The sequence below is a fragment of the Homo sapiens genome, chromosome 1, assembly GCF_000001405.40.
Source record: "Homo sapiens chromosome 1, GRCh38.p14 Primary Assembly".
Taxonomy (NCBI): domain Eukaryota; kingdom Metazoa; phylum Chordata; class Mammalia; order Primates; family Hominidae; genus Homo; species Homo sapiens.
The window spans coordinates 14,219,498-14,237,701 of NC_000001.11; the positions used below are offsets into that span (position 1 = coordinate 14,219,498).

The 18,204-nt window shown below is 39.9% G+C and overlaps 1 protein-coding gene and 1 long non-coding RNA gene across 8 annotated transcripts in view; both read left to right on the top strand.

Annotated features, from left to right (window-relative positions):
• Positions 1-18,204, top strand: part of KAZN (kazrin, periplakin interacting protein) — a 1,225,220-nt gene that overhangs the window by 326,674 nt on the left and 880,342 nt on the right. The gene's annotated exons all lie outside the window — the stretch shown is intronic.
• LOC107985467 (uncharacterized) overlaps positions 1-18,204 on the top strand; it is a 53,718-nt gene that overhangs the window by 17,553 nt on the left and 17,961 nt on the right. Inside the window, exons 2-3 of one of the 2 annotated variants that reach the window (XR_001737611.2) lie at positions 1-53; positions 1,691-18,204. The exon at positions 1,691-18,204 is cut by the window's right edge and continues 17,961 nt beyond it. This is a non-coding gene — a long non-coding RNA (uncharacterized LOC107985467). The other variant, XR_001737610.2, reaches the window with a different exon arrangement.

Consider the following 18,204-nt stretch of genomic DNA (forward strand, 5'->3'; position numbering starts at 1 on the left):
GTTTCATGCAAAATAAGACTCACACCACATTGGACAGGCAGACCTGTAAACAAGTAGGTCTTCATTAATTCATTCTACAAATATTTCATGAATAACCAACTCTTTTGGGTAGGCATTGGAGGAGCACTGCACCTAAAATAAGAAAATTGTAGTATGAAGCAAAATATGATAGGTGCTATATGGACAAAGTATTATGATAGTATAGAGAAATGGAAATTTATTTCTGTCTGGGAGATTAGCAAAAACTTACCAGGGCAATAACATTTCAGTTGAATCTTCTAAGATGTGTAATATGTGCTCTTACTTTAAAAACCATCAATTCACATTAAAGGAATATTTAGAACCCACTGCCTCAATAACTACTCATCCTTAATCCATATGTTCTAGTTTGCATCACTCAACATGACTGAAACCCACTGTCTGAAGGCCATTGATCATCTCTTAGCAACATTTCTTCAGTCGTTGTCCGCATAAACTCTGCCCAATTCATTATTGTTGAGTATTGCCTTCTAGAAATTATTTTCTTCCTTTTCTTCTGAACAACCAGGGTGCCCTGATCTCCCTCCTGCCTTCCAACTGTCCCTTTGGTGTCTTTTGGCTGCTTTTATCACCTCTTTGGTCATGCCTTCTGTGCTCTCTGTGTTCTCCTGCCTTGGCATTACCTGAAGTCATATGCAGTTAACATGGAAGTATCTACGACACTCTTGCCTGTAGGAGCTCCAGACATGTATTTCTGACTCTCTGCTCATCATTTCTTTCTGTATGTCCATCTGTCACCACAAAATTGATATGCCCAAAATTGGACCCATTTTCTTCTTCCAACCAAATCCTTCTCGTGACCTTGCCAACCCAATTAATAGCTTCTCCGCTTCCTGGTCCTGACTTAGAATCTTTGAGTCATCCCTAACTACCCTGTGGATGTGTTTGTTGTCTTAAACTTGGACAGCTTCTATTTCTCTGTGTCGAGAGGACTTACATGCTCTTTGGAACTTTTCCTGTGTGCAAGGCTTTGAATGGACTTCATCCAAACCCAGTGATAAGGTTCCCTGTGATAGCTTAATTGGCAGGGTCTACCCTCATTCCCTAGTGGATCACACCATGTCTGCATCTGATTTGGTGATAGCACATTCAGGCTCCAGACCAGTACCAGGCACTTTATACTGCTAGCTTAGGTTATGAATATTAGAATTAATGCAGCCGTCAACACTATCTTACTAGCTTAACATGAACAAAGTACAAATGCTTCTTCTGTGGAGGGAGGAGCTCTCAAGCATAGATAGTCCCACATTTATCCTCCAGGGCTTTTATTCCCAACCATACTTATACTTGTCAGGTTATTTTTTTCTGCTGAGGAAATGGCCTTAATTTACATTGATTTTTAAGAAAAAAGATTTATTACAGGCACAGCATCTGCTGTTTGTGCCTAGAGGTAAAGGTTTAGGTTGAAGCAGCTTCCTCCGCTTATCCATCTGCTTGTTCATCCCACAAGCATTACTGAAAGCTGACTTTGATGCGGGATGCTGGCTAATCAGGTAGGTTGTGTAGTTCCTGCCCCCAAGGAGTTCACTGTCTAGGTCATAGTTACACTAACTCTGTCATCTTGCTTAGTGTTTATTAGCCCTGAGGATGTAATCACTCATTCCTTCACTAATTCACTTCCTTTTAATCTCTTCCTCTTTCATATCCTTAGTTACCATCCCTTTGTGGATGATTTTCAATATGTTTTAGACTCAGTGCTTGACCTTCACAACTATATTCGAAAGGTAAGTATTGAATTCTAAATATAATATAAGCATTGTGCTAGAGGTTTAGAATACACTAAGAAACCAACAGCATGGTCCCTGCCCCTGGAGTCTTCTGTTAACATTATACAGGTTTCCATACTATCCTCACCCTCTAGAAATTTATGTCTTAAAATCATGATGTTTGCAATCACGATCCATGTAGATTGTTTTCTTTGTCTTTTTCTTTCTACATAGATAAGTTGCCTCCGAGAAGGGAAATAATAAGTTGCATTAAAACTCCTTAAAAAGAGGAGCTTGAGGTGTGATTTCTGTAGGAAAATCACTGCAGAGCTTGCCAGCTAGAATTATTTTCTGGCTTATTATAATCCTGTTACGAGTCACCATTATTGCACCAATTTTGTAAACAATACAGCTATACCAACAAGGCTATAATCAACCACCACTGAATGTCATATCATTTCTCTACCTTTAAAGATCTGCAGGAAAAGGGGATGAGGTGGGAAGAAGACAAGAATTTTTTAAGTGATATGGATAATCAAGAATGCCTTTTAAAAAAATACCTCTTAAATATATGCCCATGTCCCCTTAAATCTGATGGTGAAACATCTCATTTTAGTTGATGTATGACAAGGAAGCAATCACCGTTAATCAGAATGACACATTTCCATTTACTTGATGAAAGGGAAGGTAGATGAAGGTCATGAATAAGAAAACAAAGCAGCTTGTGATTCGTGATGTTTGGGGTTTCTTTTGAAATTTGCTTCCTTAGGAAGTTTATAAGCTGGTTGCTTTCTTCTCTTGGCATCATTCATCCAAATTGCCAGAAGTCCTTGTCAGTGAAGATGGAAATATTTCATCTTCTCTCCTGAATAGAGAAATAGGTTAATTTGCTCCGGATTCTTTGACAAATTTGGGTTTTAAAGGTGTAAAATCTCAGAAGTTCTGACTCCAGATAGCTCTTTAAAAGTTACCAATTCCATTCTCTGGGTGATAAGATTATTCGTGGGGGATTAACCGTCCAGCTGGTCACGGCCATGCCCGTGGGGAACTGTGGGGGGAAATGGGCCAGAGGCTTAGTGATTTTATTAGAAGCAGAAATCAAGAGCCTCTTTCCACTCTCCCCTCTCTTGTATTATAAGACACTTAACCATTTAAATGCTGGCAATAACTAAGTGCTGGTTAAAGCTTCGCTTTTCTTGGATACCACTTTTTATAAAGGAGTCTATGTTTCTGCTTTTGTTCTGTGGTTGGAGAAGAGGAGTGGCTGTAATTTATGGTGCAAGCCTAGCTTTGGGGCCATTAGATCTGAATTTATGCCTAAACATTTTTAGAAACTTCCAGAAGTCACTATGAGACCCCATTGGGCTGTAGAATATTATCAGTGGGCTGTTATAGTCTCCATACCAAAAATTAAAATATAATTTGTGAAATACAGAGGAAATTTTGGCATTTGGGGATTCAGCACAGATCTCCCAAGAGGGATGAATGTAAGGCTATTTATTTCAAAATCTAAGGATGACGTTCTTTCACTACCAGAGTTGGTCTTTGAATCTACAAAGGTCATGATGTCCCAGTATTTTGAATCTGCAAATATTATGATGAATAGGTATCTCAGGATAATTTTAAAACTTAGTATTTATCATGCTCAAAGCCTTTTGTAACTATCATTATTATTATAGTCATCATCATCAACATCTTCATCATCATTATTTTAAATAGATAGGTTTAAATAAATAATTATTAAGCTATAGTAGGAGACTATAAAAATATAAAGAGAACTCTAAAGGTACTCTAGGGCTGAGGGAGCTTACCCAAGGAGAGGCAGACATGGAAGGTGCATCCCTCTTCAAAAGTTGGGTTCAGACTTTTTTGGAGCCAGTGTGGTTGCAGCTGTTGGATGGTGGAAGAGCTCTCTGGATTGCCCAGGGAAGAGGTGGTCCACAGTCACAGGACAAAGCAAGAAACACCTTTTGGGGCACTGAACACCTGTTATCTTGCTGAAACAAAGATGGCAGCCTGAAATGGTTGTTAGCATCAAGTTCTTTTGAAAATGCTTATTTTCCTAAACTTTGCAAAAATCCAGCTATAGTAGGCTTTTTCCTGGCACAGGCTGTGATCCCAGTGCCAATGCCTAAGGAACTTATGTGCTGTCTATTTTGGGTCTGTGTAAAGCCAAGCTGTACAAACCCTGTCATCAGCAAGCCACTTAAGAGAGACCCCACTTTGTGCCATTTTATACTGGCTCACCCATAATGTACATTTCCTGCCCATGCTCCTTTTGGTGTGACAGAACTCCATAATCTATCATTATAATTTTCTCTTTGTGTCTTCTTCTTCCTTATGTTCTTTAGTCAGTCTTTTTAAAGCTCTCCCAAATTTCTATTGTTTTTGCAAATATTAGGCCAAATTTGACAAGAAATCCTGCATAAATTACAGTTAAGCTTCTTTAAACTGAATTTTCAGATGATACAAGACTCTCGACGATGAAACTGATACGAAAGGAGAAACACTGGATTAATTAAGAGTATTTGCACATGAGGGAAACCTCATCTATCTGGCTTGATTTGTCCACCCTGGGTCCAATCTGCTATGGTCAGAGGGGCAGTGGCATGTTTGTTACAGACAAAGCAGTTGGGAGTCCACATTGATGGGCAAAGGAGGTGATCAGCAAGGGCTAGGAAGACATCCCCAAAAGTATCTTCAACAAACACGAAGGGAGAACCATCCACCATTTAGAGTTCACGATCGTCAGGGCACAGGGCACTAGCTTCCTAAAATAAGACCTACAGTCTTTTTAATTTTTAGCAAGCTGGACCTTTCAACAATATACTTCCATGGAGAGAAATTTTTTAAAAACTTCAGGGGTGAACAACTGCCAAAAAGGAATGTCTCATACCCAACTGTCATTGATTTTTATGTGAAAGTCAGTAGTTATTTCGGTGTAATGCCCAGGATGCACATGAGAAGCTCAGATTTCATAAAGGCCAAAGGGGCAGGGTCTAGTCAAGGGCAAATGAAAGCCTGGAACCAGTGGGAAGAAGGACCAACGAAAGCAAAGCATAAGGAGTAGAACATGTCAGGAACAACCAAAGAGAAATATTCTTTGGATTTTAAAGGTTGTACCGAAGCTGACAATGAAGAGTAGAACATACTAAGATAAACTAAAAGAAATGTTATTTGGTGTTTAATGATTATATCAAGAGCAAAAAGACAAAAAAAGGAAGAGGATACCACCTCTTGGATCTGGGTGATGCCAACAGATGCCAGAGAAAACTTCAGTTTTGCTTAATCTCTTTGGGCTTCCATTTTCTCTTTCAAGGAAAAAGAAGAGCCCATACAGGTTAGTACTAAACTGGATGACCTAGTCAAGCCTCCTTAGTTTGAAAGAAGCTACCAGCTAAGAAATGACATAGTAGGGGATGGCTGTAGGGATGCCTCAAGAATCTCAGACAGCCAGGGTAATCAGAAAGATGTTAACAAAATAATTGTCCTCTCCAGGTCTCAGGGAAAAAATGCCTAGCTCGGTGGTTTTGGCATGTTGGACTCAACTCTTCCTTTTCATAATAAATATTTTGTAACATCCGTTTGCTCCCTTAAAATAAACTTCATAGATAATATAACCTACTTAAACATTTAATTTCAAAGCAAAGTGAATATATTACCCAAACTGAAATATAAAGGAGGCTTACAGAGAAAGTAATTTATCTAAAACAGAAAGTAAGCTGTAGTTTAATTAATAAATGTTCAAAGACAAGGATGCTCACTCTCACTACTCCTATTCAACATAGTACTAGAAGTCCTAGCCAGAGCAATCAGGCAAAAGAAAAAAATAAAATACATCCAAAGAGAAAGAAGAAAAGTCAAACTATCTCTGTTTGCAGACAATATAATTTTACACCTAGAAAACCCCAGTCTTTGCTAAAAAGCTCCTAGATCTGATAAATGACCTCAGCAAAGTTTCAGGATACAAAATCAATGTACAAAAATGAGCCACATTTCTATACATCACCAACATCCAAGCTGAGAGTCAAATCAGGACCATAATCCCATTCATAAAATACCTAGGAATTCAGCTAACCAGGGAGGTGAAAGATCCCTACAGTGAGAATTACAAAACACAGCTAAAGGAGATCAGAGATGACACAAACAAATGGAAAAACATTCCATGGTCATGGATAGAAAGAATCAATATCATGAAAATGGCCATACTGCCCAAAGCAATTTACAGATTCAATGCTATCCTTTTCAAACTACCAATGACATTTTTCACAAAATTAGAAAAAAATTCTAAAATTCATTTGAAACAAAAAAATAAGCCTGAATAGCCAAAGCAAGCCTAAGCAAAAAGAACAGAGGCATCATACTACCTTACTTCAAACTATATTACAGGGTATAGTAACTAAAACAGTATGTCCTGGTGCAGAAAACAGACACATAGGCCAATGGAACAGTAGTAAAGCTACATTCCTACAAGTATCTAATCCTTGATAAAGCCAATAATAACGAGCAATGGGGAAAGGAATGCCTATTCAATAAGTGGTACTGGAATAATTGGCCAGCCATATGCAGAGAATATTGAAACTGGACCCTGCATTTCACCATATGCAAAATTTAACTCAAGATGGATTAAGGACTTAAGTGTGAAACCTAAAACTGTAAAAACCCTGGAAGACAACCTAGGAATTACCATTTGAGACACAGGCCTTGGTGAAGACTTCATGATGAAGACTCCAAAAGCAATTGCAACAAAAACAAAAATTGACCATAGGACCTAATCAAACTAAAGAGCTTCTGCACAGCAAAAAACAAAAAAACAAAACAACAAACAACAAAACAAAACAAACAAAAAACCACCCTATCAACAGAGTAAACAGACAACCTACAGAATGGGAGAAAATATTTGCAAACTATGCATCTGACGAAGGTCGAATATCCAGAATCTATAAGGAACTTAAGCAAATTAACAAGCAAAACCCAAACAATCTCGTTAAAAAATGGGCAAAGGACATGAACAGACACTTCTCAAAAGAAGACATACATGTGGCCAACAAGCATATGAAAAAAATTTTCAATATCACTAATCATTAGAGAAATGCAAATCAAAATGCAAATCAAAACCACAATGAGATACCACCTCACACCAGTCAAATGGCTATTACTAAAAAGTGAAAAACAAAAAACAAAAAAACAGATTCTGGTAACGTTGCAGAGAAATGGGAAATAGTTCAGCCACTGTGGAAAGCAGTTTGGAGGTTTCTCAGAGAACTTAAAATAGAACTACGATTCAACCCAACAACCCTATTACTGGGTATACAGCCAAAGGAATATAAGTCATTCTACCATAAAGACACATGCACGTGAATGTTCATCGCAGCACTATTCAGAATAGCAAAGACATAGAATCAACCTGGATTCCCATCAACAGTGGACTGGATAAAGAGAACATGGTACATATACACCATGCAATACTACATAGCCATAAAAATGAGATTATGTCTTTTGCAATAACATGGATGGAGTTGGAGCCATTATCCTAAGTAAATTAATGCAGGAACAGAAAACCAAATACCACATGTTCTCACTTATAAGTGAGTGCTAAACATCGTGTACGCATGGACACAAAAAAAGGGAACAATAGATACTGGGGCCTACTTGAGGGTGGACAGTGGGAAAGTGTGAGGAATGTAAACCTACAGGTTGGGTACTACGCTGATAACCTAGGTGACAAAATTATCTATAAACCAAACCCCCACAACACACAATTTGCCCATGTAACAAACCTGCACATTTACCCCTTGAACCTAAAAGTTGGAAAGAAAAATAAATAAATGTTCAGACAGAAGAAGAAACAATGAAGTAGCCACAGATTTATTTGCACCTATATGTAGAATCTTTGTGAGTATGACAACCTCAAATACAGATTGATAAAGTCAGATTGTACTGGCAACCTGATTTTTCAAAGTGGTGGGTCTTTCAGTTATCTCTTGCTGTGTCACAAACTAGACCTCAGTGGCCTCAAACCATCATTTTATGATGCTTTTGGATCCTATGGGTCAGGAATTCAGAAGGAGCACAGTGAGAATGGTTCTTCTCTTCCCCGTGATGTCTGGGGCCTCTTTGGGGATGGGTCGAGTGCCAGGACCTGGAAGAGTTAAAGCTGAAGGAATCACTTCCAGGATGTCTCTGCTTCACTCACTCACCTGGCTCCTTGGCTGGAGGGTTGCAGACAGGACTCACTGTAGGTGGCCCTCCAGCCTGGTGATCTCAGGGTGCCTAAATTTCTTACAAGACAGGCAGAGTTCTAAGGACAAGTATCCCAGCAGAAGCTGCAAGATCTTTCATGACTTAGCCTCCAAAGTCACCAGTATCACTCTGACATACCCTCAGTCAAAGCAGTCACATGGGGCAGGAGGCAGAGAGGATGTGAGTATACAGAGCCCACCTCTTGATGAGAGGAGTGTCAGAGAATTTGTAGTCATGTTTGAAACCACCACAGTGACTGGCTCTCAGCAAATTTCCAACAAAACAGCGGTCTTTCTATGAATTACACAGTAGCTACCTTCCTGGAAAATTCAGTACGTATTAAAACCTTGTAAACAGTATGTTATGTATGTATGTAGTATGGAAGCTTAGACTATATACACACCGTTCAGCAGCATCTTTGAAAGTTGTGTGAGACTCAGGGTGCTGCTTTGTTGTATACTTACACTCCAGAACACTGCAGGATGCTTAGCAACTTTGGTCCATGCCCACTAAATGCCAGTGCTGCCCATCCTGGTTATTTATCTCTCATCTGTAGACTGACTTCTTCTGATTACTTGGTGCATTGCTTATAGATCAAAATGGCACCCTTAGTCCTCACTCTACACACTTTTCAGCTCACCTCTTCCACTCAGCTGAGTTCTGACAATGATAGTGATGATGATGATGTTGTTGATATTGGTAATGATGACTATAATGATGATGGCAATGACAGCAGCAGTGACCATTACCACTTTGCCAGGGGCTCTATTATGTTATGCACCATCTTACTTCAGGCTGACAACAACCTTACAGCAAATATTATTGTCCTTGCTTTTCAGATGAGGAAGCTGAGGCTTAGAAAGCTTAAATAATCTATATAGGATGATAAAATTAGAAACTGGGGAACCAAGAAGTTTGATTTTTCTCCTAGACCTCTGGATAGCTTTGAATGACAATGTGACCTCACCTAATTGTCTTTGGCTGAGGGGATAGAAGCAGTGTTCTGTAGATCACTGGGAGCCATTTGCTCAGAGAAGGGCCATGGGCAGGTGGGCACAATGATTAGCATCTCTGGCACAATGGAGAGGAGGAAATTGACATTCAAAATAGATGTGAAAATGGTAAAAGGGCATGAACCTACTCTTCCAGACTTCCCAGACTCTGGGAGAAGATGGCTGAATCTTCTGAATCTCATCTTCTTTGGGAAGGGTGGAGAATAAAGGCAAAGACAGTTCTAATGTTGAACAAAAGGAAGAAGGTGGAGCCTAGAAACATGAGCTGAATGTAAAATTCTAGATCATGTATTAAAAAGGACATCAGTCCGGGCCTACTCATTCTTGGCCAGCCAAGGAGGTATCTGCATTGTCATCTCCATGCCATTAGGTGGCCCAGGTATCCCAGCCTTGACCTCCCTCTTGGCTTGTCTTCTCTGGTCTGCATTCCCAGAACCATACTCAGTATGTTATCCACATGGCTCACACAGCCACACAGTGGCATGCTAACAGGAGAGCTTTGAAGATCTGTGATTCAACTGAAGCAAGTCCAAAGCCTTGGAAGTGTTTTATGCTTCTGTGTATCTACTAATGAGGTGCCTTCATTTAGCAAGAAAATAGATATTATAGGCTCTATTTTTATGATCTTTAAAAATGGGGAAAATAAAATTGCACCACGAACGGCAAAAAAGACAAGGAAGAAAAATAGCTTGTGGTTCTTTAATTCAATTGCAGCCAACTGGGTTTCTCTCTCCTTAGCTCTCTTAAAAAACAAAACAAATTTGTAATATAAATGCTGTTTTGGCACATAATATATTCGGCTTTAACATTGCCTATCTGTATTACAAAAGTGTGTTTATAAAAGCCTTCGAGTGCTTCGTGAAAATATAACATTTTTAGAATAAAAAGTGTTATTGAGGTGTTATTCTCTAAATTTTAAAAAAGTCTGAATATGAATATTTTATGTCTGTGTAACATATTTTATATAAAGGTATGATCATATTGGTGAGGAGAAATGCAAAAGATGAACAGATGTAAAGAAAATTCATATTCCTGTTTCCTTTCGGACCATTAATTCTATGGCAAACAACGTCTCTAATGTTTTATCTTTTCCTTGAATAGTATTTTCACAGCAAATACGAAAATCTTATTCATATAAGGGCCCTCTAAGGGTGTCCTTCACCTAACATCAGTCATCATTTGGACCCTTTCAGGGCCCAAGCCCTGGAGAGGAATCCGCACTTGAGGGACACCAGCCTTCATTTCTTAGATTTCTTGCCATGAGAAACCTGCTGTCATTATTCAAGAAATATCTACAGGAAGATGTTCTGAAAAATTGAGTCTCTCTCGCAGGAGCGTTAGATTCTCCTGGATGCAGAAGGAGCCCTGTGGCTCATTTGGTCCAGCAACCTGCCTCCAGCAGAGCCATATGCAAACCACCCTCTGCAGCGAATATGTTCCCTACATTATTTCAGGCTCTATTCTTCCTCCAGACCCACGTTCTCCGAGAGAACCTTCCACAGTGATGGAAATAGTCTACAGCTGTGCTGTCCCATATAGCAGCCACTAACGTCATGTGGGTATTGAACACTAGAAATGTGGCTTGCGTGACCAAGGAGCTGACTTTTTAATTTTAATTAATTTAAATATAAACAGCCTCATGTGACTAGTGGCTACCTTATTGCCTGAGCAGTTCTAGAGCCTCCAGGGATTTTGTGCAAAACAAAACACAACAAGACAAAGGTGAACATAATCAGAGTTTGGTCTGAGTTACATAAAATTTCCAAGGTGACTTGGGAAGTTGTTTCTTACAAAAAACTAATAACACTTGAAATAAACCCTTGCCATGTATTGGGCACTGTCTAACAGCCAGGCAAAGTGTACAATAAGTGCTTGAACAGTATTATTTTACTATTTTGCTGAACTCATAAGATCCTTATGAGGTAAGCATTATCTCCCCCACTCCTTTTTTATTTGGAGATGAAAAAATCTGTGATTTAGAAACATTAAGGGTCACAGCTTGTTCTTGGCAGAGGGAGGCTTTGAACTCGGGTCGGAGTCCAATCCCTGTGTGTAGTGCTTTATATTTTTCCTCTATAGCTTGTTGGAATTTACACTACCTTCTAACTAGAGATTTGGTTAATAATGGGATAGAACAAGTTTCTTAGTGCAAAGTTCTATTTCCACATGTGACTCCCCTGTAAGATTATAACCTGCCATGGAAGGTGACTCTATGACACTGAACTTGTGTCTGAATTGTCTATTCTCCCCCTTGGTGGCCATATTTTTTCAGTAAGAAGGTTATAAACAATGATTTATGACCTCTTGAGGTGCTAGAAAACATTGCATTTGCATTTATATGTAGTCACGAGACAGTTCAGTTTAGTGTTAAGATCATAAATGATGGTCTCAAAGAAGCCTAAGGTCTCCCGTGGGCACCATGCATCTTCAGACAGGTTACTTCATCCTGGAAACCTCTGCTTTGTCATCCTTAAAATGGGGTAATAATAGGTCCCCCTTCATGAGTTCCTTGCTGTGAATCAATGAATGAGTGTATTTGAAGTATTAGCATGGTGCCTACTATACAGTAAGTGCTCAATAAAAACTAGAGGCTATTGGTTCTATTATCACTCTATAGCCACTTCAGCTCATACCCATAAGGTTTATTATTAGTTTCTTATTTGGTTCTTATTAGTAGGGAAAAGAGATGTTGATCCTAGGAAATACATGGATCAAAGCCAATGAGATGACTGTCATCAAATGACTTTCTCTCTCTCCTGAGATATAAATGCAATCAAATGAGCCCCTGAATTGCTGGTTTGTACATAACAGAAAACAAACAAACAAACAAGAATGTGCTATCTTCCCCTCCCCTTGTAATTGATAAAGTGTAGCCAGAAGGGGGAGGCTCTATCTCATTTTTTTTTTTAGCATGGCCCAGGTTCTTAGCTATTCAATACTCACTTTGGGATTACAACGGCCCATGCCGCCAGCATAGGTAATATATAAAGGGATGTCAAATGGTGTGTTAGAAAGAGCCAATGACAGAATCAAAAATCCTGTATCTGAGTCCTAGCTTTGTGGTGACTTACTCTGTGGCCTCATACAAATCACTGAAGCCCTCAGCCGATGCATCTATGAGATGAAGAATTTAAACTTGAGGAATTCCTCAACACTACCTAGCAATAACTGGTTATCAGTATCCAGTGTACCAATTAGGACTCAGAAACTCACTTTATCAGTTGCCATTTATTACACCTGAATGAGTTAGGGTAATGCTAGCTACTATAATAGATAATTCTCCAAATCTCACCTGCTTAGTACAGCAAACATTTATTTCTCATTCATAGAAATTCTAAACAGGTGCTCCTGATCAGCAAATAACTTTCCTCCATGCAGTGACTCAGGGATCCAGGCTCCTTTCCCCTGGAGATACTACAGTCTTCAGTACTGGTCCCAAGGTTGTCAGCTTAAGGGAAGGGTCTGGGGGATGGCTTGGGAGGGGTTTATATGGGCCAGATCTGGGAGTGGCACACATCACTTCCATTCTCATTCCATGGGTGGAACTCAGGCTCACAAACACACCCAACTGCAAAGGGGCTGGGAAATGTAGTCTGGCTGGGTGTTCAGAAGGAAGAGGAAATGGGTGTAGTGAACATCTAGTCCCTTTGCCCCACCTCTCAGCAGTATTAGATGATTGCTGCTATCACACCAGGTGACTCTTATTATAGTCAAAAGCAAAGAAACAAAGTTTTAGGTAGTTTTGTGGCTGTGTGTGTGTGCGCATGTATGTGCCTATTGCAGAGGTGGGGGCAGCGCAGGCAGTGGGGGATATAACACTTCTGTTAAAATTTTTGAAATATTGAAAAAAGTTAGTAAATTATCCTCTCATTCCTTAGGTTTTAGACTCTTGCCAAAGCATGTAGAAGTTCCAGCCCCTATTGCCTAGTACCTGGTACCTAGGACAGGAAGACCCTACTCCATTTTCTAATTGATTCTTGGGGATCTGGAGAGGAAGTCTTGAGCTCTCCCTAGGGGCCGACAAGGTCCCCTTTGTCTATATTCTCACTTTGCCTTCTCTTAAGATTGCTTCTTCATAGCTCCTTATCCCAGCTGATACAGGGCTGAGATACAATGGTTTCTTCTCCACTGCATAAAACTAAAGCATTTCTCTCTGGCTTAGTAGAATGTTGCGTGATGTTCCAGTACTCTTGTGTATGTCTGCTAGATTGTCTTCATTGTCACTTTTCCCCTCTTATAATTAGTTTTATTAATCTTCCTTCACAGTACATCTAATTTTCATAAAACAACGGGCATTTTAAAATAAAGAAAAAATGAATATACAAACTTCTCAAGATATCTCAAGATGTCAATTGCAAAGAAAAACATCAGCTAACCAGATATCACATGAAAATGTGGCCACATTTTTTAGGGTAAAGAACTTTTAGAAAGGTAATTTAAAAGGATAAAAGAATGAAACTCCTATCATATTTAAAATGTTTTATTTTTCCATAATTTTAACAACATTGTAAGCATCATCAAATAGTGAAATGAGATCCAGGTTTGGGGTCACTCTTGAGTTCTGCAAGGCTATGCCTCTGCCTCTCAGTATCCTTATGTGTAAAATAGCAGTAGAGGCACTTAGTTGCTAAATTCTTTTATTTTTTTTTTTGAGACAAGGTCCCACTCTGTCACTCAGGCTGGAGTGCAGTGGCACGATCACACCTCACTGCAGCCTCGGTTTCCTGCGTTCAACTGATCCTTCTGCCTCAGCCTCCCAAGTAGCTGGGGCTACAGGCATGTGCCACCACACCCAGCTAATTTTTTCATTTTTATTTTTGTAGAGACAGTCTCACTATGTTCCCCAGGCTGTTCTTAAACTCCCAGGTTCAAGCAATCCTATTGCTGTGGCCTCCCAAAGCGCTGGGATTGCAGGTGTGAGCCACTGCACTCAGCTTAGTTGCTAAATTCTATATTGATTGCTTGGAAGATTGAATAAGGTAAATTATAAAGCATATAGCAAAAATGGCAAGCACCTGGTAAGTGCCTAATACAGGTTAGCTCCCTCAGGTAAGAATTATCCCCCGGAATATGAAAGCCAAAATCAGCTGACTCTCTGCTTTCAAAGGTTCTGCAATCTCCATAGAGCACCCAGGAAGCAGGAACCTCAGTCCTGTCAAACAGCTTTCTTAATAATGCAAATGCAGGGACACTGATGCAATGTACATACTTTTTAAAGTACTGGTCAGAAAACCTCCACAGTGTGTCTTTTGTATGCAGAGCCCTTCCCTACTGCCTCTGCCAAAAGAGGACATAAATTAAAGACATAGTACCTGACCTTAAGGATCTTGAAAATCAAAACCACAATGAGATACCATCTCACGCCAGTTAGAATGGTGATTATTAAAAAGTCAGGAAACAACAGATGCTGGAGGGGATGTAGAGAAATAGGAACGCTTTTACACTGTTAGTAGGAGTGTAAATTAGTTCAACCATTGTGCAAGACAGTGTGGTGATTCCTCAAGGATCTAGAACCAGAAATACCATTTGACCCAGCAATCCCATTATTGGGTATATACAGAGAGGATTATGAATCATTCTACTATAAAGACACATGCACACGTATGTTTATTGCAGCACTGTTCACAATAGCAAAGACCTGGAACCAACCCAAATGCCCATCAATGATAGACTGGATAAAGAAAATGTGGAACATATATACCATGGAATACTATACTATGCAGCCATAAAAAAGGATGAGTTCATGTTCTTTGCAGGGACATGGATGAAACTGGAAACCATCATTCTCAGCAAACTAACACAAGAACAGAAAACCAAACACTGCATGTTCTCACTCATAAGTGGGAGTTGAACAATGAGAACACATGGACACAGGGAGGGGAACATCACACACCGGGGCCTGTTAGGGGATGGGGGGCTAGGGGTGGGATAGCATTAGGAGAAATACCTAATGTAGATGACAGGTTGATGGGTGCAGCAAACCACCATGGCATGTGTATACCTATGTAACAAACCTGCACGTTCTGCACATGTACCCCAGAACTTAAAGTATAATAATAATAATAATAAAAGCACACATAGGTGAAGAGTGAGAACATTCCAAACTAATTTTCCAATTGAACATGAAGATCTGTGCAAGGTGTGGGGGTGGTGGAGGTGATGGTTGAAGTGGGTGGAGCATGGGTAGCAGAGTCAATGACAAGTTGGGATAAACCTTCCTGGACTAAATTTGTGCCAAATCTGGAAGGTGATGAATCTGAGTTAGCTAAAGCAAAGGAGAGCTTTTTGAAAAATTGCCTATGCAACCTTTTGGCAAAGCAGGTTGGCATATGTAGTAAGAACCTTTCAGATATGTATACTCAGGTTCTAGAATTCCACTGCTGCAATTCTATCTGGTTGAAGGAATCTTCAAAATGGAAAAAGCTTCACTGCTGGTGGAATTACAAAATGATGCAGCCACTTTGGAAAATAGTTTGGTAGCTCCTGAAAATGTTAAATAGCTAGTTACTGTATGACCCAGCAATTCCACCCACACATACATATCCCCAAAGAATTGCGGTGTATATCCGTGTGAAAACTTATGCACAGATGCTCACAGCAGCATTATTCATAATAGCCAAAAAGTGGAAACAAAAATGACATCAGCTGATGAATGGACATACAAAATGTAGTATAACGACACAATGAAATATTATTCATCCATAAACAAAATGTGGTATAACCACACAATGAAATATTATTCATCCATAAACAAAATGTGATATAACCACACAATGAAATATTATTCATCCATAAAAAAGGATGAACTACTATAACATGGATGAAGCTTGACAACATTACACAAAGTAAAAGAAGCAAGTCATATAAAGCCACGTATTATATGATTTCATTTATGCGAATGGTCTAGGATAGATAAATTCATAGTCAGAAAGCAGATTAGTGGTTGTCAGCGGAGGGGGGATGTAGGGAGTGACCACTATTAGGTAAGGGGTTTCTTTTGGGGATAGCAAAAAAGAAGCTTCTAAAATGGGATAGTGCTGATGGCCGCACAACTCTGAATACACTAAAAACGTCTGATTTGTCACTTTAAAAGGGTGAATTTTGTGGTACGTGAATTATATCTCAATAAAGCAGTTGTAAAAAATAGAAAAATGTTTTATGCATAAAGATGACATAGTGACATTCTTTCTAAGACTGAAGAATTGGAAACAATCTAGATGTCAGTCACAGTAAAGTCTGAAAATACTATGGCCACTGGATGGACTCTTAGGCATCCATTTAAATAATTGTTGATGCGAATGACAAGAGTCCCTTCTGGCTTTATTGCTGGAAACAGCACCCTTCTTAGCAATCCAGTCTCTTTTTGAGCAACTCTCCACGGTCTTGTACAGGCACAGGAGCAGCTTTTTGGGTTGTGTTTGTTTTGTCTCATGCAGGTTTCTCACCCCTACCCCACGTTGCCCTGACTGCTTTTCAATGAGCAAAGCTCTGTCATCATTACTCCTCCATTCTTAGGAGAGAAGACGCCTTATCTAATATCATCCTAAAAAACAACACAGCTCCTTCCCCTTAATTTCCAGAATACAAGAAAGATAAAAATCCTACTTTTAATGATATTTTCTTCAGATGTAGGGACAATGGGAAGAAAGTCCTATACAGATGATAATTTTCCTCTCCCACCCTGGGCCAGTCCACCCTAAGTGGCTTTAGGCTCCAGCTCCTGCCTGACTTCCCTTTTGCCTTCATCTGGTTTTATCTGGCAGAGGGAGGTGTGAAGGTTCTTTCAGGGTTGGGATTAAAGGCTCAGCTGACTCACAGATCCTGAGATGGAAGGGAGGGTTTCGCCCCTCTTCCTAGTCCAACATCTGCTGCCCAGGTCTTCCTCTTGTGCAGTAGGATTGACTTCTTCTGAAGATAACTCAGGGTAGGAAAATCCATTCTCTTCCTTTCATGGGACCACAGAGGCCTGGCCGGGGCTTCCCTCAGGCTGCTCCTCAAATGCAGGCTACTTCATGCACTGACCAGGAACAGACCAGAGCAAAGCTCTGTTCTGCTTCATCCAGCCCCTTTCAGGTACTTTCCCTCAAGGATGACTTGAAGCTAATTTCATCCATGATCATATTGCATAAAACGTATCGGCCAGGCACAGTGGCGCATGCCTGTAATCCCAGCACTCTGGGAGGCAAGGGTGGGTAGATTGCTTGAGCCCAGGAGTTTGAGACCAGCCTGGGCAACATGGAAAAACCTGGTCTCTATTAAAAAACAACAACAACAAAAGAGCCGGGTGTGGTGGTATGCACCTGTAGTCCCAGCTACATAGGTGGCTGAGGTGGCCAGATTGATTGAGCCCAGAAAGTCAAGGCTTCCATGAGCCATGATCACACCACTGCACTCCAGCCTGGGTGACGGAGCAAGACCCTGTCCCCCAAAATAAAGTATTAATAAAGAGAAGTGTTATTGAAATAACATTAAAGAAACAAAATCAACAATCACATATAAACAATGAAAATAAACTAACCTACAGGGGCATATGCCTGCATTCTATATACCAAAAGATGATCAGAAAATGCCTTTTTCTGTTTTGCAACATTGTCCTCACTAGTTAGGTACTAAGTGTGACCCTTTTAAGGTTCATCTTTAAGGGAGGAGGAGTGGCGAGTGTGAACACCTTTCAGCATCTCACTCTCTGATCTTCAGGGGTTGCTCTTATTCTTAACGTGAAAACTGTACTCAGTAGATAAGAAACAGACAAGGAGAATATTCCCGAATCTCAGGAGTGCTCTGGACTGAAGGGCCAGCGTATTTCCCCATTAACATGATTGTTAATAGCTGAGGAGTGAGCAAGGCCCAGCTGGCCCCTGAGTACCAATTGCTTAGGAAACAAATTGCAAAGAGATCAGACCTTGGCTTTCAATCATTGCCTCGTCACATGAAATCATTTCATGCATTCACTGGTCTCTGGACTGTTTCATTTCCAAACTCATTTGGAGAGTTTTAGTGTGCAGATACTCTTCTCTGAGTATCTTTCACTTAGGCACACCCTCTCCCTGGCAATGAGAGAGAATACTCTGTTATAATGCAGCATAAATCACCTGTGAACGTGCTAGAGAAAATCATTACAGAATAGGTTGGTGTAATCAATATAATGAAATAATTCAAGCAGATTATTGACGCAGCAAACATTTATTAAGGACCTACTGAGT